The 22,023-nt window shown below is 41.9% G+C and overlaps 1 protein-coding gene across 35 annotated transcripts in view; it reads right to left on the bottom strand.

Annotated features, from left to right (window-relative positions):
• The window catches only part of MARK3 (microtubule affinity regulating kinase 3), a 118,417-nt gene that overhangs the window by 61,485 nt on the left and 34,909 nt on the right, over positions 1–22,023 (bottom strand). For 27 of the 35 annotated variants that reach the window (NM_001128918.3, XM_005267641.6, NM_001128919.3 and 24 more), the window contains one exon: positions 13,907–13,960. The exons of 7 other annotated variants lie outside the window; for them this stretch is intronic. In NM_001128918.3, coding sequence (NP_001122390.2) covers positions 13,907–13,960 — 54 coding nt within the window. Of the gene's footprint in view, positions 1–13,906; positions 13,961–22,023 lie in introns of those variants that run through there. One more of the 35 variants, XM_047431394.1, reaches the window with a different exon arrangement.

The following is a 22,023-nucleotide window of genomic DNA, read 5'->3' as shown; positions in this document are numbered from 1 at the left end:
CCAGGCTGAACTGCAGTGGCACGATGTCCGCTCACTGCAAGCTCCGCCCCCCGGGTTCACACCATTCTCCTGCCTCAGCCTCCCCAGTAGCTAGGACTACAGGCACCCGCCACCACGCCCAGCTAATTTTTTTGTATTTTTTAGTAGAGACGGGGCTTCACCATGTTCACCAGGATGGTCTCAATCTCCTGACCTCATGATCCGCCCACCTCAGCCTCCCAAAGTGCTGGGATTACAGGTGTGAGCCACCGCACCTGGCCATGGAGGTGCTGTATATTAAGATATGTACCTTTTCCCCCTACTTACTGTGTAATTAATGAATGGCCTAAGAGAGTTAAGTGATAAAGTCTTCTCTGTCATGCCTGTGTTTCTATTAATTTAGCTCAGATTTTCACCTATGTATTTTGGGGTTCTGGTTATCATTTGGTGTCCTATCATTAAAAATAAAATTTAAAAATATGAAAATAAAATAAAAATAATTGCTTTTCAAATGGCAATTGTTAAGTGAACCAGAATAACCACTTCTGAAGAACAAAGTGTGTGTTTAGACACGGAGACTCTGTCCACGATGCAGATCAGCAAAGAAAGGAGAGGTGAGGCAGCAAGTGATTATACATACGAAAAACCATGAAACTGGATCCCTACCTCGTAACACATGACTGCTGGTGGCTTAAAGATTACTTTAAACATGTGAAGACAACAGAGAAAAATATGTTTATGACCCCAGGTAGAGAAGAATTTCTTAAAGAAGACACAAAAAAGGCCGGACGTGGGGGCTCACACCTGTAATTCCAGCACTTTGGGAAGCCAAGATGGGTGGATCACGAGGTCAGGAGATCGAGACCATCCTGGATAACACGGTGAAACCCCGTCTCTACTAAAAATACAAAAAAAATTAGCCAGGCGTGATGGCAGGCACCTGTAGTCCCAGCTACTCGGGAGGCTGAGGCAGGAGAATGGCGTGAACCCGGGAGGCGAAGCTTGCAGTGAGCCGAGATCGTGCCACTGCACCCCAGCCTGGGTGACAGAGCGAAACTCCGTCTCAAAAACAAAAAAACAAAAAAACAAAAAAGACATAAAAAGTGCAAAGCATATTAAAAAAAGACTGATAAATGTAACTGCTTTAAAATTAGGAGCCTCTGCTATTCACTGAGAGACAGTATCAAGAGAGTGAAGATATACCATCAAGTAGAAGGTGTGTGCCACATATATAATAGTATCCATGATATATAATGATATCCTAAAATAACTAAGAAAAAATCCACTAGAAATTAAACAAAAGATGAATACGTACTTCACAGAAGAAACAAAAAACCTAAATATGAAAAAATGCATGACCTCATCAGTAATTAGGAAAATGTTACATTAAAACCATAATGAGATTTTTCTTTTCTTTTCTTTTTTTTTTTTTAAGAGGGGCTCCTGCTCTGTTACCCTGGCTGGAGTGCAGTGGTGCAATCACAGCTCACCGCAGCTGTAAACTCCTGGGCTTAATCAATCCTCAGCCTCCCAATTATCTGAGACCACAGCTATGTGCCACCATGCCCAGATAATTAAAAAAAAAAAAAATCTTTTTGTAGATACAGAGTCTTGCTCTGTTGCCCAGGCTGGTTCTTGAACTCCTGGCTTGGAGAGATCTTCCCATCTCAGGCTCCCAAAGTGCTGGAATTTAAGGAGGAAGCCACTATGCCTGGCCAAATATCACTTTTATATTTACCAAATTGATAGCACAATTTTTTTGTTTTTTTGAGATGCAGTCTTGCTCTGTCGCCAGGCTGGAGTGCAGTGGCGCAATCTCAGCTCACTGCAACCTCCACCTCCCGGGTTCAAGCAATTCTCCTGTGATGGCACAAATTTTAAAAAATCAGAGAAAATCAAATTTTGATGAGGATGCTACATTACTTGTGCTCTCTTACACACTACTGATGGAAATATAAATTAGCATACCTGCTCTGAAAATAATTTGGCCTTCTCTAATGAAGAAGGAGGATGTGCAGACAGACTCTGTGATACAAGAATTCTAAGTATATATATTTAAGAAACTCTTCACAAGTGTGCCAGGACACACAGAGGACAATTCACAGCAGTCATGTTTGCAATACAAAAAGCAATCCAAATGTCTCTGAATCACAGAATAAATACAGAGTGGCATATTCACATAATGGGATACTACATATTCTTGAAAATGGACATAGCAGTGAAGGTGAATTACAGCAAAATACATCAACATGGAACACAATGTAGGTAAAAGAAAGCAAAAGCGGCTGGGCATGGTGGTTCACACCTGTAATCCCAGCACTCTGGGAAGCTGAGGTGGGTGGATCACTTGAAGTCAGGAGTTCGAGACCAGCCTGGCCAACGTGGTGAAAACCCGTCTCTACTAAAAACACAAAGATTAGCTGGGTGTGGTGGTGCACACCTGTAATCCCAGATACTTTGGAAGCTGAGGCAGGAGAATCACTTGAATCCAGGAGGCAGAGGCTGCAGTGCTGAGATCACGCCACTGTACTCCAGCCTGGGTAACAAGAGCGAAACTCCGTCTCAAAAAAACAAAAAAAAGGAAGCAAAGCAAAAGCCAATAGGAGAATACACATAGCATGAGTCCATTTATACAATTTTTTAAACTTTACACTACATTGGTGGGGTGCGGTGGCTCACGCCTGTAATTCCAGCACTTTGGGAGGCTGAGGTGGGTGGATCACTTGAGGTCAGGAGTTCAAGACCGGCCTGGCCAACATGGTGAAACCTGGTCTCTACTAAAAATACAAAAATTAGCTGGGTGTGGTGGCGCACGCCTGTAATCCCTGCTACTCAGGAGGCTGAGGCACAAGAATCGCTTGAACTTGGGAGGCAGAGGTTACAGTGAGCTGAGATCGCACTACTGCACTCCAGCCTGGGAGACAGTGCGAGACTCAGTCACAAACAAACAAACAAACACAAAAGAAACAAAAAACAGACCAAAAAAAACCTTTACACTACATTGATGAGTGATCCATATGTGGTAAAATTACACGGACAAAGCAAGAAAATAATAACACAAAATCCTTGTTAGTGTTTACCCAGTAGGTGGGCAATGAAGAAGGGGAATCAGGTTGAGGAGGGGCACAATATGGGACTGGTTTAAAGGTATGGTTGAAGATCTATTTCTTGAAGCAGGTAGTATAAGGGTGCTCATCTCATATACATATTTATATGCTAAACATGGAACATTCTTTTGTATGCAGTCAGTATTTAATAAAAATTAAAAACTAAATTTTAAAAAATTGCTTAGCTTTAGCTGAGTAATACAACAAATCAGTTTTCTAAAAATGTAAAATAAGAGTAGCAACAATGTGTGTGCTTTTTTTTTTTTTTAATTAGAGAAGGAGTCTTGCTCTGTCACCCAAGCTGGAATGCAGTGGCATGAACATGGTTCACTGCAGCCTCGACCTCCCGGGCTCAAGCAATCCTCCAGCCTCAGCCCCCTAAGTAGCTAGGACTACAGGTGCGCACCACCACATCTGGCTAATTTCTGTATGTAGAGACAGGGTTTTGCCATGTTGCCCAGGCTGGTCTTGAACTCCTGAGCTCAGCAATCTGCCTGCCTTGGTCACCCAAAGTGCTGGGATTACAGGCTTGAGCCACCATGCCTGGCCAATAATGTGTTTTTTATGATCAAATATTTCAAAGACAAACTAAGAATCTTCCCATCTCCCAAACTCAAGGTTCTGGTGGTCAAGATTCCTAGAATCAGAGCAACATCAGGAAAAATTAATTTAGTGTTAAAATGAATTTGGTACTAACAAAATTAACTTATCAGATTTTACTAGGTATCTACCACATGCAAGCTGAATTTCCATATGTTCCTTTGTTATCCTTCCCATATGGAAAGTACTATGAGTGACTGGCTCCAAGGGAACTTATGCAAAGAAAGCTATTTGATGTTATAAATTTAGGTTCTAAGGCTAGTTCAGTCCCTTATTCACTGGATGAGTGAACAAACCACAAAATCTTGAGAGCTTTAACCTACTTACCTATAAGATAGATTTTGAAAACAGCTACTTCGGCCTGGCGTGGTGGCTCACGCCTGTAATCCCAGCACTTTGGGAAGCTGAGGCAGGTGGATCACCTGAGGTCGGGAGTTCCAGACCAGCCTGACCAACATGGAGAAACCCTGTCTCTACTAAAAATACAAAAAAATTAGCTGGGCGTGGTGGCGGGTGCCTGTAATCCCAGCTACTCGGGAGGCTGAGGGAGGGGAATCACTTGAACCAGGGAGGTGGAGGTTGCGGTTAGCCGAGATCACGCCATTGCACTCCAGCCTGGGCAACAAGAGCAAAACTCTGTCTCAAAGAAAAAAAAAGAAAACAACTGCTTCACAGGACTGTTGTGAAAAGTACATGCAATGCTATAAGATAAAGTGTGTGTAGAATTTGATTCCAGGAGCTATACTACCTAATCCCAACCCAGCTGTACCACTCACTAAGTCTAGGTAACTTGACCTCCCTGACCCTGTCACCTCTACAATGAAAGGATGGCTTGACATACAGAGTGCATGGAACAGCACCTGGCACACAATAAACTCCTGACATGTGTTTGTGATTCTGGCTGATGTTACTGTTATAATTCTCTCACAAAGGCCTAATTTGCACCCAAGTTTATATTTTCTGCAAATGGGTCCAGGCTATGCTCTAAGTTTAACCCACTTAAAATACTTGGTTCCTTGGTGACTTTTCTAAAATAGCATAATAAGTCCTTGGTACAATGAAAAATATACTTTAGCTGGGTATGGTGGTGTGTGCCTGTAATCCCAGCTCCTTGGAAGGCAGATTGGAATCCTCGGAAGGAGGATGCTTGAACCCAGGAGTCTGAGACCAGCTTGGGCAAGATAGTGAGACCTCAATTCTAAAAACAAACAATCAATCTCTAAAATACACTCTACTATTCTCAGTTTATAATGTATTTTTTTTTTTTGAGACGGAGTCTCACTCTGTCGCCCAGGATGGAGTGCAGTGGCGTGATCTCGGCTCACTGCAAGCTCCGCCTCCCAGGTTCACACCATTTTCCTGCCTCAGCTTCCCGAGTTTATAATGTATTCTAAATATCAACCCGTATTATTTATTGCCAAAACAAAAATAAGTCTGGCAAGAAATTTAAAAGTTTATAAGGAATAAAGAAGCAACAATACTGAAAGCCGGTTTTTCTATTTCTTCTCTTTTGAAATCTAAAAATAAACAAACATATATACAGTTTTATTCTCAATTTTTTTTTTTTTTGGCAGAGTTTCTCATTTGTTGCCCAGGCTGGAGTGCAGTGGTGCCATCTTGGCTCACTGCAACCTCCGTCTCCTGGGTTCAAGTGATTCTCCTGCCTTAGCCTCCCAAGTAGCTGGGATTACAGGCATGCGCCACCACACCTGGCTAATTTTTTTGTATTTTTAGTAGAGACGGGGTTTCACCATGTTCGTCAGGCTAGTCTCGAATTCCAGACCTCAGGTGATCCCACCCAGCTGGGCCTCCCAAAGTGCTGGGATTACAGGAGTGAGCCACCGTGCCCAGTCTATTCTCAATATTTTAAATATGTATAATCAGGCTGGGGGTGGTGACTCATGCCTATAATCCCAAGGCTTTGGGAGGCCAAGACGGGAGGATTGCTTAAGCCCAGAAGTTCCAGGCTACAGTGAGCTATGATCATGACACTGCACTTCAGCTTGGGCTACAAAGTAAGACCCAGCCTCAATCAATCAATATAAGAAGTGCCTGTCTTGGATTTCATTTGCCATCTCCTATTTGTATTAATTTATCAGATTTATGACACTGATGTGAATGCAGACACTGGATTTTAAATAACAGACAAGACTGTAACAACTATTTTTACAGTGGTTACTACTTTTGTTAATGGCCTGAAAAGTCAATATAAGAAAATGAAAGAGAAAGATAGTTGGAAAAAAAAAAAAAAGAAAGAAAAGAAAAAGATGAAAAGAGTTGTTCAATGAAAAGGATTTCCAAAATAACTTGTGCTTCACCCAATAGAGAAAGGAGGCCAGGAACTGGGTACTAAGGCATTCCTAGGAAGAGTTCCAGAGAGGGAGAAAATATTCAGCAGTGGCAGTGGCAGTAGCAGCTGTCTATGAAACTTAGAATATTTGGGGAAGGGGTCATCTTTAAAATAGGTTACTTTGCCGGGCACGGTGGCCACACCTGTAATTCAGCACTTTGGGAGGCTGAAGCGGGTGGATCACTTGAGGTCAGGAGTTCGAGACCAGCCTGGCTAACACGGTGAAACCCTGTCTCTACTAAAAATACAAAAATTAGCTGGGTGTGGCAGCGGGTGCCTGTAATCCCAGCTACTTGGGAGGCTGAGGCAGGAGAATCACTTGAACTCGGGAGGCAGGGGTTGCAGTGAGCCGAGATGGCACCACTGCACTCCAGGCTGGCCAACAGAGGGAGACTCCGTCTCATAAATAAATAAAATAGGTTACTTTAGTTGGGTGTGGTGGTGCGCGCCTATAGTCCCAGCTACCTCAGGAGGCTGAGGTGGAAAGATACTTGAGCCCAGGAATTCCAGGCTGCAGTGAGCTCTGGTCTTGCTGCTACCTTCCATCCTGGGCAACAGGACAAGACCCCATCAATCAATCACTCAATCAATAAAAAATAAATAGGCCGGGCGTGGTGGCTCACGCCTGTAATCCCAGCACTTTGGGAGGCCAAGGCGGGCAGATCATGAGGTCAGGAGATTGAGACCATCCTGGCTAACACGGTGAAACCCCATCTCTACTAAAAATACAAAAAATTAGCCGGGCGTGGTGGCGGGTGCTTGTAGTCCCAGCTACTCGGGAGGCTGAGGCAGGAGAATGGCGTGAACCCAGGAGGCAGAGCTTGCAGTGAGCTGAGATCGCACCACTGCACTCCAGCCTGGGTGACAGAGCGAGACTCCGTCTCAAAAAAATAAATAAATAAATAAAAATAAGTAAAATTGGAAGAAGAGAGAAATTAAGAACTTTGGGGGAAGTGAAGACAGACTAGGAGCCATTCTCATCTGGGGTGTGTACTGAGATCACCACATTTCTAGACCCGCCAAGATAGGACCTCTAGGGAGGAAAGTACTGTGAAGGAAATATGCTTTTTTCAAACTCCACAAATGTTTCTAATGCACAAGAAGGGTTGAAAAGTACTGGCTTAAGAAAACTAAATCAACAGTGCCCAAAATAACCCAGTGGTGGCAGCAGTAAAAGTCATTACACGACAGACCACATGAAAAGCATGAACTGGTTCTCCTTGCTTTCAAATTATAAGTTTCCCTGCTACATCCCATGACCAAGATTCCCTAGGACGCCAAAAAAGGCCACTACTGCTACTGCTACAGAGCTCTAAGCACTAACAGTGGCTCCAAAGCAAATACTAGCTTTAAAAAGAAAACAGCCTCCCTCTTCCTGGGTAGGTGTCTGGTGCTTGAGGGGTATCGGAGTGGACCAGGCTTGAGGGGCACAATGAATAACCCTATACCTTCCAATTTGAAATTAGAAGCAAAAAACGCTGCTAAAATATTAATTCACAGAATTGACTTCCAGAAATGACCTGATAAGATTATTCCTGACTGAACTAGATTCTGAATTCTTCTAGTTTTCTTTAATATCTGGCTACAACTTGCCAATGAAGAATGAGCTGCTCAATTTCAGAAGCCCTATAAACCAAAGCTGACAGCTTGATGTAAATTTCGAGTCTCATGCCTGATGTGTAGGCCACACAGAGAATTCACCAGAATGCCAGATGCCACAACCAGAGACATTCAAACTGCGAACCAGGACGAGAAGTTGTGGACTGCATGCTATGGACAGCTTTTCCCAAGACTGTCATAATAACAAGACTTCATAACAATGCTTTTGCCCCTCTTAATTTTTCCTTACTAATGCCTACCTCTTTCAGTTTGGCAGGATCATGCTGTAGCTAAAATTTCACAGTCAGTAGCTTCTGTGGGTAACTTGCACTCCCTGCTTTATACTTAGCCCGGTCACGGAATGCTGGGATGCCTACTAAACATGGAGGAATCTGTGCAGTTCATGACACTTCTCGTTGCGATTTGGGTATGGTAGAGCGGACAACTTGGTTAAAATTGGCAGACTCCTTGTTTGGCTATACAATTTTAGTTGATTTGGTTCATAAAAACCCTGGCTTAGGAGCATACTCTAAATGCTTGGTGTGATCCTCATGATAGTCATAATGGTAGTCTCTCTGGTACGCTGTATCCTCCCAGAGTGTTAAGTGTCTCCATGTAGCCACCTATCAGATGTCAAATGGTTCTCTCTGGCTAGAACAACAAAAACTCAAAAGAAACACACGATAATGAGAACACCCTGTCAACGGCATGCTGAAACGGGAAACTCAAAATGATGGCAACTGAGAACAGCAGGGATATCCTAGGTTTTGGTTACACTCTTACCTAGGTGAAAGCCTGACCAAAAGGGAAGAATTGTTAAATAAAAATTATAGGAAGCCATTGTTTGGGACTAAACTCCTGCATTAGGCCCCAGGAAACCAGGTTAAAATTAAAAATGGAGTAATCCCTGCTAAGATTCCACATTCCCAAACCTAAATTAAGTTGTTATCTGACCTTCCTAGAAATCAGAAGAAAAGGAGATAACAGCTAATTTCCCAAACAGGACAGTTTATTATTTATTTATTTTTTGAGGCAGAGTCTCACCGTCACCCAGGCTGGAGTGCAGTGGTGTGATCTCGGCTCACTGCAACCTCCGCCTCCGAGGTTCAAGCGATTCTTGTGCCTCAGCCTACTGGGTAGCTGGGGTATGTCACCACGCCCAACTAATTTTTGTATTTTTAGTAGAGATGCAGTTTCACCATGCTGGCTAGGCTGGTCTCGAACCCCTGGCCTCAGGTGATCCACCCGCCTCGGCCTCCCAAAGTACTGCCATTATTGGCGTGTGCCACTGCGTCCAGCCCCTGATTGAAGATTTAAACTGTCCTGGCTGAGCACGGTGGCTCAGGCCAGTAATCCCAGCACTTTGGGAGGCTGAGGCAGGCAGATCACCTGAGGCCAGGAGTTGGGAGACCAGTCTGACCAACATGGTGAAACCCTGTCTCTACTAAAAATACAAAAATTAGCCAGGCGTGGTGGCACACACCTGTAGTCCCAGCTACTCAGGGGGCTGAGGCAGAAGTATCTCTTGAACCCGGGAGGCAGAGGTTGCAGTGAGCCAAAATCACACCACTGCACTCCAGCCTGGGTCACAGGGCAAGACTCTGTCTCAAAAAAAAAAGAAAAGAAAAGAAAAGAAAAGAAAAAACTTCAATTGGCACAATAACAAAGTTCCTACTGCTTTAATCCTTACAGAAAAAAATGTAGTGTGAAGTAACCTGACATTAACTAATCGGTTACTTTTCTATGTGGTATAGTCTATTGTGGTCTATTGTTCTGTTTCCCTGTCCCTGCCTTACAAAAAAAAGGAATTCTGAAAGGACCAATACACTCTTTGTTCTTTGCTTCAGCTTTTTTTTGAGACAGGGTCTTGCTCTGTTGCCCAGGCTGGAATGCAGGGGCACCATCACAGCTCACTGCAGCCTCCAACTTCTAGGCTCAAGTGATCCTCCCATCTTAGCCTCCTAAGTAGCTGGAACTACAGGTACACACCACCACACCTGGTTAATTTATTTAATTTTTTTTTTGGTAGAGACGGGTCTCTCTGTGCTGCCTAGGCTGATCTCGAATTCCTGAGCTCGAGTGATCCTCTCGCCTCAGGCTCCCCAAGTGCTGGGATTACAGGAGTGAGCCACTGTGCCGGGCCTGCCTCAGCCTTCTTCAGCCTTTGCCTGTCTCTAAAGCCAACTTCTGCTCAGCTCATAGGGACACTTATTCTATTTTATGGAATGTAGTGTTGCCCTATTTTACAATCACGATAAGGCCAGTGGAAGGAAGGGAGGGAGGAAGATTGAGGTGGGTATAAGCAGGATTTCCCCACAAAGACCCTGATGAAATCCATAGTCAATAATGCTTTAATAAATCCTACTGGGTATTTTGCATATATTTGTGTTTAATGTTCCTTTTTTTCTTCCTCTGTAAATCTCATTAAAATTTAAAAACACAGGGATTTCCCTTTCTGTCCTACTCAGTCTAGATTTAAGAATGGTGGTTAAATCTTACTCAAAAAATGCTTTACTACTGGGTCAGCAGTATCAACTTGGATGAATTCTCCATTGAAAAGTCTTGTTCTTGTCTTGTTTAATATTTTAATTGGATGGAGACATCCATATCTAATTTACATAGCAGCTAATACAAATGACCCATTATTCCAAAATCCCCCAAAAGACTGGAATTAAGGCAGAAAATCAATTAAATGAATTTTAGCAGGAATCAAACAAATTCAGGTGGGAGGGGGGAAACAATTCCAAGTATGGAATAAAGTAGGCTTCTGTTCAGCGAAACTCCTGTGGGAGTACCCAAGGAGGCTGAGGGGATTTACTCTGCATAAGAGAAAATCAACAAGACCCAAAATAGCAACTTCTAAGGGCTGGTTATGTTTGGAGTAACTATAACTCCATATGACAAATGGTAAACAGTGTTGTAGAAGTTTCTAGAAGACAGATGCTAGTCTGAAGTAAGGGGAAAAGGCTCTAATAGCAAAGCCACTGAACACTGGAACAAGATGCTACGGGAAGGAGTGTGTCTCCATCCCTGAATGTGCTCAAGGTTGGCTAACTAACCAGCTATCATAAATACATTACAAAAAATCAATTATTTCATTACATGTTACAAATTTCTTGTTTTTTTTTGAGACAAAGTCTTGTTCTGTCGCCTCCTGGGTTCAAGCAATTCTCCTGCCTCAGCCTCCTGAGAAGCTGGGATTATAAGCATGTGCCACCACGCCCAGCTAATTTTTGTATTTTTAGTAGAGACGCGGTTTCACCATGTTGACCAGGCTGGTCTCGAACTCCTGACCTCAAGTGATCCACACACCTTGGCCTGGGCATGGTGGCTCACACGTGTAATCCCAGCAAGTGGAGGCTGAGGCAGGTGGATCACCTGAGGTCAGGAGTTTGAGACCAGACCAGCCTGGCTAACATGGCAAATCCCCCATCTGTACTAAAAATACAAACATTAGCCAGGTGTGGTGGCGTACACCTGTAGTCCTAGCCACTTGGGAGGCTGAGGGAGAAGAATTGCTTGAACCCAAGAGGCAGAGGGAGACTGCAGTGAACTCAGATCCCACTACTGCACTCCAGCCTGGGCAACAGAGCGAGACTCCATCTCAAAAAAACAAAAACAAAAACAAACGAACAAACAAAAAATTGACCTAAAAGATGCGTAAGAATAGAATAGTATTCCAGATATACTAGTGAGACATTGGAAGGTATATAGCCAGATGCTGTGGTGTGCATTTGTAGTCCCAGCTACTTGGGAGGCTAAAGTGGAAGGACTGCTTAAGCCCAGGAGTTCGAGTCCAGCCTGGACAACAGAGCAAGACCCATCTCTTAAAAAACAATGGAGAAAAATAAATCTCTCACCAGAATCTAACGTTTATTAATTCAATGGCTGCAAAAATACAAAGGAAAAATGAAGAGACTCATCTGTGAAAATAATATCAATTTGCAAACATAGTCAACTCAGGTTTACTTATATGTGCATTTAGTAAATGTTCATGACCCAGTATGCAAGCCTGAATATCATGAAACCGATATTTTAACACGTGTGTTCACTGTTAAAATACTGCCTGAATGAGCCAGTCCACCTTTTTCGGTAGTGGTGGTAAAAAAGAGATTGCACACTGCTGATGGCAGAATGTTCCTTATGATGAATGTTAGCTGCTAGGGCATGCTCCACAGCTTTAAATCACTATCTAAGAGAGCTGTTCCTGAAGCAAGTGTGATACAACTATGAATGGTGCTGAGAAGAAAAAAGGATGCAAGAATGACTGCAAAGGGGGCTGACAAAGTTGCCTGGTACATTCTACATTGTTGCAAAATTGCTGGGGGTGGGGGAAGATGGGGGGGCTGGGGATAAGATACTTGGTGAAAAAGAATTGGAAACAAATGTATGTAAAATGCTTCTAATTTACTTCATAAGCATATGAAGTTATATACACAATTTTAAACAATGGCCTATAAACTGAAAATATTATACTTATCAAGTTATTTAACTTGGGATAGAGCTGGCTTTAGAATAAGTCTTCAGTGAATGGTTCATACTTGAATAATACCAAAAACAAATCTTAAAGTTTTAATTATTATTATAAGTCAAAATTAATTCAGATGCAAATATGCATAATCACACTAATGGGCTAACCAAACTACCATGCACTAAACTGATAATGATGTGACAAATAATAAACGAAGAGCAGCAATGAAAAATCATTACCAAAAAAATAAAATAAAATAAAAAATGACTAAAGGAAGCAAGCAAACAAGAAGGAAAAACTGCAGCCAACTTGATACAACACCATGGTAAAAATTTTTCCGGGAAAACTGTTAGGATTACAATTATATCCAGGTACACATGAATAGTGGAAGGTATGTAACATCATAGAATACTCAATTAGAGTCCTCATTAAACATCCTTGTATGTTAATTTTAGTTCTGAATACCACATTGTATTAAACTCTAATGTATTTATTAGTACCAAATCCTTAGATAGCTGAAGATATGGAAGTTTAAGGAAATAGATAAAATTTACTCTTCAGGACAAAGGACTGGAATTTTTAGATGTTTCATGCCCACCTTGAGAAGCCTTAAGGCCCATTATGGGTTGCAGATCACAAAGAACCACTTGTTGAAATAACATTTTTAGTGCAGAGAAAGTCTATCTCCCTCCCCACCTCCCAAACACAAAACAGGGACAGGGCTTCAAAATTACCAGGATATAAATAACCATGAGGAATACATTAGAAATGTATATAGAGCACTGCTCTTATCAAAATATCGCACAACTGTGCAGTGCTGTGCAGTTTACAAAGCCCTTTTATATGCATTATTTCATTAATACTCACATCCATCATAAGAAGATGAAATTATCTCCATTTTAAAGATGAGAAACCCAAGGTCCAGCAAAGTTAAGTGCCTTGCTCAAGGTCAGATATTCGGCTAAGTGGCAGAGCCAGGACTGAAATTCAGTACTTCCTGTTCCTACTTCATGGTCTCTGTACCCCCCTCAACTACTACAGGTCAAATCTAGAAATCAAATGAAGTATGTAAAAAGACTCTGCGAAGCTAAAAACAACTAGAAGGATTTTATTATGAAGATCATTAATTATTTGCTGATGTCCTACCACTGAAATACCTATGCCTGGGCCCAACCTAATTGCTTAGGCATTATTATGTAAGTGTTAAGACTTTCAAAAATCTGCCCAGGTGATTCTAAAAGGCACTAGGGCAAAGACTTGATCTATGTTAAATGATACTAATGGCAATACTGCTTTATGAACATGCTTTTCCACTTTCAGTTTTACTTTAACATTTCCCTTTTATATTAATCATCAGTCCTTAATCAGATGTGGTGTGTCAAGAGTTTAAGGAAGCCAAAGTGTTCACTTTAAAATTTTCAGTATTAGCTATAAGGTACAAATTTGCACAATATCAATTACATGAAAATATTTTTGTACTGTATTATTTTTAAAAAAACTCTAGTCAATATTAAGAATATTCAATAAAAAGTACAGCCTCGTACAACTATATCAATAAAAAAGTACAAAAAAAAAGCACAGCCTTTAGTTTGTGCTGTTAAGAACATTTAAAAATAATCTCCGACCAAAGATAACCCAACAATTTTTCATGAAATACTACATTAAGTTGCATTCATTTGAGGAATAGGAAGCTTTATGGCATTAAACATAAAATAACAGTTGGGGTATTTAAGGGACAAATTAGATGGCAATTAGCACCGATAATTTTTTAAAAAGTACTAGACATTGAACCAATCTTACCTTTTGTAGACTTGTTGGATTCAACTGAGTTTTGTCAATTATTTTTATTGCAACCTAGAAAGAATAATAAATATTTATGGATTTTAAGAATTTAGTAATTATGGACTGATAAATGCCAAGATATATGGCATTAAGAAGCAAGCAAGCAAGCAAGCAACAAACCACAAAACCTAAAACTCAGCTGGTTACAATAAGCAATTGTAACTTTATAAAATTGTGTAACTGAAAATAAGGGCTTCTATAACAATGCTTTCTAACTAAACTTCTCCCTACCCTAAATACAAGAGACCCTAATAGGCAGGAATATCATCACCCCTATTTGGCTTGAAGAAGTTACAGATGATCTTTGTCCCGCTACAATTCTTAAGGATTAAGGGTCCCCCTGTAAAAGGGAGGGGGGAAATATGTCAGAAGTGTTTGAACCAGAGCAACTCCATCTTGAAAAGGGGCTGGGTAAAATAAGCCTGAGACCTACTGGGCTGCATTCCCAGGAAGTCAGGCATTCTTAGTCACAGGGTGAGATAGGAGGAGCTTGGCAGAAGATACAGGTCACAAAGACCCTGCTGATAGAACAGGATGTGGTAAAGAAGCAGGCCAAAACCCACCAAAACCAAGATGGCGATGAAAGTGACCTCTGGTTGTCCTCACTGCTCATTATAAGCTAATTATAATGCATCAGCATGCTAAAAGACACTCCCACCACCACCATGACAGTTTACAAATGCCACGGCAACCTTGGGAAGTTACCCTAAATAGTCCCCTAAAAGGGGAGGGACCTTCAGTTCCAGGAAATCTCTGCCCTTTTCCCAGAAAGCTCATGAATAATTCACCCCTTGTTTAGCATATAATCAAGAAATAACTATAAGTAGACTCAGTCAAGCAGCTGATACTGCTGCTCTGTCTATGGAGCAGCCATTCTTTTGTTTCTTTTTTTTTTTTTTTTGAAACAGTCTCCCTCTGTTGCCTAGGCTGGAGAGCAGTGACATGATCTCGGCTCATTGCAACCTCCATCTCCCAAGTTTTCATAGTTTCTACTCCCTCAGCCTCTGGAGTAGCTGGGATTACAGGTGCGCACCACCACGACTGGCTAATTTTGTATTTTTAGTAGAGATGGGGTTTCACCATGTTGGCCAGGCTGGTCTCGAACTCCTGACCCCAGGTGATCCACCTGCCTCGGCCTCCCAATGTGCTAGGATTACACGTGTGAGCCACAGCGCCTGGCCTGTTTCTTTACTTCTTTTATAAACTTGTTTTCACTTAAAAGAAAAAAAAAAAAGAAAATTGGGGCTTCAAACTAATAAACGTATTGTTATAACATTTTATATTTAAGTTACTTATAGACAAGGGGAAAGTCTCCTCCAAACCAAGAAAAAAAGAGAGAGAGAGAGAGATTATACACAGAAAGCACTTCTAAAAACATATGCAATGTAGCAAATCTTTTCTTTACAATTTACTGACACTTTAAATTTAGCTGACTCTGGGATGGGTAAGCATACAAATAGGTGGGTATTGAATCTGAAAACTTTAAAAATTTTTTTTTTTTTTTTTTAAATAGAAAAGCCCTTTGGGCAGTTAAAGAAGGAAAGGGAATTAGGTCCAAACCAATCTGTGGGCTAACCAAGTGAATATACAGAGCGGCAACAGCAGGGTCACCTAGCAGCCTTTGTTCAGAAAGGGTGAGTATGCCCCAGCCAGTGTTTTTAAAACCCATTAGGATATAGGAAGTACTATAGCTTCTATAGCTTCTGGTCAGCTCATCACTGTCACGTAAAAATGATTTCTATGGACTATGGAAAAAGAATGGAAGTGACAATAGAAGGGAAGAAAAGTGGAGAGAGGCTTTGCCATGACCAGGGAATATCAAGTAACTCGGCTTTGCACCTGAGCTCCAAAACAGCAAATGAGCCCACCCCCATAAGATCAAAGAGGCTGTGCTTCCTACTGGGCATCCTGCAGGACACAGGCCCAGAAGACCCACCCCTGAAGAAAGCATCTATAGCCAAAGTCCAGGGAATGAGCTTGGAGTTTCTCTACATCAAACATTCTCACACTTTTTGGTCCCTTTTACACTTTTAAAGATTACTCATTCCCCCAAATGTGGGTTGTATCAACGAATATCTACCAAAATACAAATAAAAACTGAGAAACTGTAAAAAAAAAAAAAAAAAAAAGTATTTAACAATTGATTTCAAAATAACAATAAGCACATTATAACACAAATAATATATTTGTATGAAATTTTCATACAAGCTTCTACATTCAATCTGTTGTGATATCACACATCATGTAACCTCTGGAAAATTCCACTCTACACTTGTGAGAGACAGAATGAAAAAAGCAAATGTTTTACTAGTATCACAAAAATAGTTTTGACTCGGCAGACTCCTTAAAAGGGTCTCAGAAAACCTCCAGGGGTCTCCCCATGTCATACTTTTGAGAATGGCTGCATTATGTACATTAACACCATGTTTTAAAAACCCTGCTTAACTTGGTCTAAAGCCTCCACCTGACCACATTATTTATTCCCTATGAGTCTATAACCTCCAGAGGAGCTACAGAAAAAATCACTGCAACAAGGTATCCAGCAATTCTGACCCTGGAGTGGATGGGCTATAACCCCCATTTTCAGGAGGAAGCAAATCAGAACTGGGGAAGGAGTGGAGGGAAAACGAGTGTGTGCGCCTGAAAAACGCAAAGTTGGAATTCTAATTTTGTATTTGGAAAACATAAGTTTCAGTGGAAACTGAATAAGCAAAAGAAAATACTGACTACTGAAACAGGCAAACACGAACTGTCTTATGCATATCTCAACTGGGGAAAAGACATCTTATTCATCTTTATAGCCCTAACTGGCACATAAGGAGTACTCAATAAATACTGAGTTGTCCGGGTGAGGTGGCTCATGCCTGTAATCCCAGCACTTTGGGAGGTGGGTGGATCACCTGAGGTCAGGAGTTCGAGACCAGCCTGGCCAACATGGTGAAACCCCGTCTCTACTAAAAATACAAAAATTAGCTGAGCTTGGTGGCGGATGCCTATAATCCCACCAGCTACTTGAAAGGCTGAGGCGGGAGAACCACTTGAAACCTGGAAACGGAGGTTATAGTGAGCCAAGATGGTGCCACTGAACTCCAGCCTGGGCGAGAAAATGAGACTCCATCAAATAAATAAATAAATAAATAAATAAATAATAAATAAATAGGCCAGGTGTGGTGGCTCACGCCTGTAGTCTCAGCACTTTGGGAGGCCAAGGCAGGCAGATCATGAAGTCAGGAGACAAAGACCATCCTGGCCAACATGGTGAAACCCCATCTCTACTAAAAATACAAAAAATTAGCTGGGCATGGTGGCATGGGCCTGTAATCCCAGCTACTCGGGAGGCTAAGGCAGGAGAATTGCTTGAATTTGGGAGGTAGAGGTTGCAGTGAGCCGAGATCATGCCACTGCACTCCAGCCTGGCAAGACAGCGAGACTCCCTCTCAAAAAAATAAAAATAAATAAATAAATAAATGCTGAGTTGATCTGAGGCCTTGAACACTCATAATCAGTAACCAAAAAACAGGGCTTCTGGTGTTTTAACAGATAATGAGGTTTTAAAAATTATATAAATCAAAGTCGAATGAATTTTCTTCAAACTTTACCTTCATAAGTAATTTTACATGGTATACCTAGATCTCCCAATTCCAATGAAACCGTTAGACATACACACTCTTTTCTGGCCTCCATTCTGCTTTATTCCTCCTCCTCTTCATGGCCAAATCCATCAAAGATGCTGCCTTTCCAGTTCTTCTTCTCTCTGAGCTTCTGAGACGTGGTTTCTATTTTCACACCTGGACTCTTAATCACTAGTTTCTTATGGTTCTGCTCAATATCCTCCTCCTATTCTAAAGATTCTTTTTTTTGTTTTTTTTTTTTGAGACGAGGTCTCATTCTGTTGTCCAGGGTGGAGTGCAGTGACATGATCACAGTTCATTGCAGCCTCGACTTCCGCAGGTTCAGGTGATCATCCCACCTCAGCCTCCCGAGTAGATGGAACTATAGGCACGTGCCACCATGTCCAGCTAATTTTTTGTAGAAATGAGGTCTCCTTATGTTACCCAGGCTGGTCTCAAACTCCTGGGCTCAAGCGATCTGCCCACCTCAGCCTCCCGAAGTGCTAGGATTACAGGCATGAGCCACGGCATCCGGTCACTATTCCAAAGATTCTGATTCTGCGTTTTTTTTTTCTCTTGAGACAGGGTCTCGCTCTGTCACCCAGGCTGGAGTGCAGTGGCGTGATCTTGGCTCACTGCAACCTCCGCCTCCCGGGTTCGAGCAATTCTCGTGCCTTGGCCTCCCCCAAGTAGCTGGGATTACAGGCACGTGCCACCACACCCAGCTAATTTTTGTATTTTTTTAGTAGAGACAGGGTTTTGCCATGTTGGCCAGGCTGGTCTTGAACTCCTGACCTCAGGTGATCCACCCGCCTCGGCCTCCCAAAGTGCTGGAATTACAGGCATGAGCCATCGCGCCCGGACTGATTCTGTTCTTATACACTTTCATCTTCAGGTACTGCTATTCAATAGCCTCTGAAGCAAAAATAGGAGCTCAAATATGTTTCATTCAGCTTAACCAAACTGCAGAAAAGTCATTTTATCAAAAGCAACTATGTCCCCAGAGTGAAACACCATCATTTGATGTGACATGTGTACGTGCAGCAAGGAAGCCTGAGCGGGAGTTCCTAATCCCCTCTTCCTCCTAGCTCCCCGCTGGGATGACTCCACCAAAATCACCTTGGCCCAGAGCTGGAGCCTGGAGAGCTCAGGCAAAGCTGAAACCTTGGGGTCACCAAAAGAGGTGGTAACTGGGGTATCCCCGATTGCAGTGCCTCAGAAAGGTGTAGACTGGAGAGAAGACCACCCCTTTATTCCAGTGATTGTGGGGTTGGGTAAAGGGAGACTCAACAAACACCAAGGGGGCTCACTAAGTGAGAAAGCCACTTGCTGTGGAAATTTCTGGGAAATTCCATTTACATTCACTCTGATGCCAGCAGCAAAGTGGAATATTACAAAATAGGGATGGGACAGCTCATACATGAGATGGGCTTCTCCCAACAAATCCACAGCAAACACCCACTGGAGAAAAATCCTTATCTTCCACTTTCTGTTGGTTCACCAACGGTCAAAAGATCCTAACACCCTGTTTCTGAAAGTGTTAACAACATTCTCAGTCAGTAAAAGAGGAGGCAAAAAAAAAAAAAAGACTGCAAGTCCTCTAGGGGGATAGAGTGGCCTGAAGAATGATGCATTAGTCATCTTGGACTGCCATAACCAAAATACCACACACTGGGGGACTTAACAGTAATTTATTTTCTCACAGTTCTGGAGGGGACCTTCTTCCTGGCTTGCAGATGGCCACCCTCTCCCTGCGTTCTCATGTGGTAGAAAAAGCTAGCGTTCTGGTGTCTCTTCATGTAATAACACTAACCCTATCAATCAGGATTCATACTACGACTTCACTTAACCTTCTATAAAGACCCTATCACCAAATACAGTCACACTGGGGGTTAGGGCTTACACATATGAATTTTGAGGCATACGATTCAATCCATAGCAAATGGAGGCCAAGTCAAACAACTACAACAGTTGGTTACAAATGAAAACCTCAACATGGAAGAATATCACAAGCATGAAGTAGAGTAAAAGAAATAGACACAAAATAATACACTATTATTAAAATACTCTAACATTCTATTAGTACAATGTTAAAACAACAAACAGACAAAACCTATGGTATTAGAAGGTGGCACAGTGGTTCACTTGAGGAGGTGGGGTAGTGAAGGGATTTGAAGGAGGCCAAAGGGAGGCTTCTAGGGTGTGGGTCACAGTATATTTTTTGCCCGGGTCATGGTTATTCAAATGTGTTTACTTTGTGATAATTCATCAAGCTGTACACTTATGATTTGGGCACTTTTTATGTATGTTACGTTTCTTTTTGTTTTGTTTTTGAAATGGAGTCTTGCTCTATCGCCCAGGCTGGAGTGCAGTCGCGCGATCTTGGCTCACTGCAACCTCCACCTCCTGGGTTCAAGCAATTCTCCTGTCTCAGCCTCTCAAGTAGCTGGGACTACAGGCACACACACCATGCCCAGCTAATTTTTGTATTTTTAGTAGAGACAGGGTTTCACCATATTGGTCAGGCTGGTCTTGAACCCCTGACTTCAGGTGATCTGCCTGCCTCGGCTTCCCAAAGTGCTGGGATTCACAGGCATGAGCCATTGCACCCAACCTGTGTTACATTTCAGTAAAGAGTTTTTGTGTTTTTAAAGTCAATGATGACTTTAAATAAAATGTCAATAGATAATGCCTAAACCTGAAAAACAAGTAAGACTACAAGCATGTTATAAAGTATGAAAGAATCATTTAAAAGACTAAAGAATCACTTTAAAAGATTAAAAGTGGCCATCCTGGGAGACAAGGAAACCAGTGAGTCTAGGGGACTCTTTTTTAACAAGTCTTGACTCTTTAAACTGTGTGTAATATGTAACTTGAATAAAAATAATTACATGAAAAGTTATTTTCATAACCATAATGAGGACATTGGTTAAAGATGGCATATTGATCACATGCATTTCTCTGTCCTGCCACCTGATAGGCCCACTGAAGAACAAAGACCAAATGACAAAGAATGGCCAAGAGAAGGGAAGGGCTGCCACCAGAAGACAAGTGACTTCAAAGAATTTCTGGGAGATAAAAATCTGACAGCAGTACAGTGGAACATGTAGCAGGGCACAGAAAGACAACCCTAGAATATGCTTGGAAAAGGAAAAACTCAACTGTCCATAGAAAATAACTCTGTGTTGCGTGTGTGGAATGTCCCAGTGTAAAGACCGACGTTCCTCTGGCCTCTATGAGGCTAAGCCAGGCACTCGTCACCCCTTTACTGGGAGCTCTCAGCTTTCTTCTTAGGGCTCCACTCTTGAAGACATGAACAAAATAAAAAAATCACACAAATGAGGAAAGCCTGTGATTTTTCCTGATGCCTTGCTCCATAATTAAGCCTCTTCTTTCAAAAAAGGAGCTACAGTCAATTCTCATTGTTCATTCTATGCAGTTACTGTGCTCACTGAATTAGTGAATACGAAATCATTGCTTCTGGGGGTTAGGTTTCTGCAAGCCTCTGGTCACAACATTTTGCAACAGCAGATTAATACATAAGTTTGTTTTATGTGTGTGTCTGTTTAAGAACACCTTCTTTACTATATATGATTGGTTAACACTGAATTCACAGCCACAGCACTGTAACGCACACTTGAGTGAAACTTCTAACACGTGCATCTTCTTTGTAAAGCACCATAGCCATGTGCAGTGCAAGGAAAAACTCAACTGTCCAGAGTTTTATCCATGGCAAGGCTATGATGTGCCTTACAAAGAAAATGCAGGTGTTAGGTAAGTTTCACTCAAGGGTGCGTTAGGAAGACTAGACAGCACTTCAGCACTATGCTTGGGGCCCATTTTAAATGGCAAAATCATCAACAAAAAGTACAAAAATGAAAAAAAAGGCATTAAATAGATCACAAAAAAGACACTGGTTTACGGCACAAAGACTGAAAAAAAGAAAGCAAAGTGTCCCCTTGTTGAACCTCAACTAGGGATGTGCATATTTTTTCACCGTTCTGCATATGTCCGAAAAGGATTACCAAAGCGCTGTACTGATTTGGGTGTTACAAATAAATTTTTTCGAACAGGTAAATTTGCAAATATAGAAACCACAAAAAAATGAGTATTAACTATCTGCCTGGAAATGAATAGTGGTGATGGTTGCCCAATAATGTACATATAGTTGATGTCACTGAACTACACACTTAAAAAATGGTTAAAATTATAACTTTTATGTTGTATGTATTTTACCACACACACAAAAAAAGTGTTGGCCAGGTGTGGTGGCTCATCCCTTTAATCCCAGCACTTTGGGAGGCCCAGGCAGAAGGATCACTTTAGCCCAGGAGTTCGAGACCAGCCTGAGCAACATGGGGATGCTTTGTCTCTGTAGAAAATACAAAAAATCAGCCGGATGTGGTAGTACACACCTCTGGTCCCAGCTACTCAGGAGGCTGAGGTGGAAGGACTGCTTGGGCC

Source organism: Homo sapiens, chromosome 14 (genome assembly GCF_000001405.40).
Source record: "Homo sapiens chromosome 14, GRCh38.p14 Primary Assembly".
NCBI lineage: Eukaryota > Metazoa > Chordata > Mammalia > Primates > Hominidae > Homo > Homo sapiens.
This window is presented reverse-complemented; position numbering and strand designations above follow the sequence as displayed.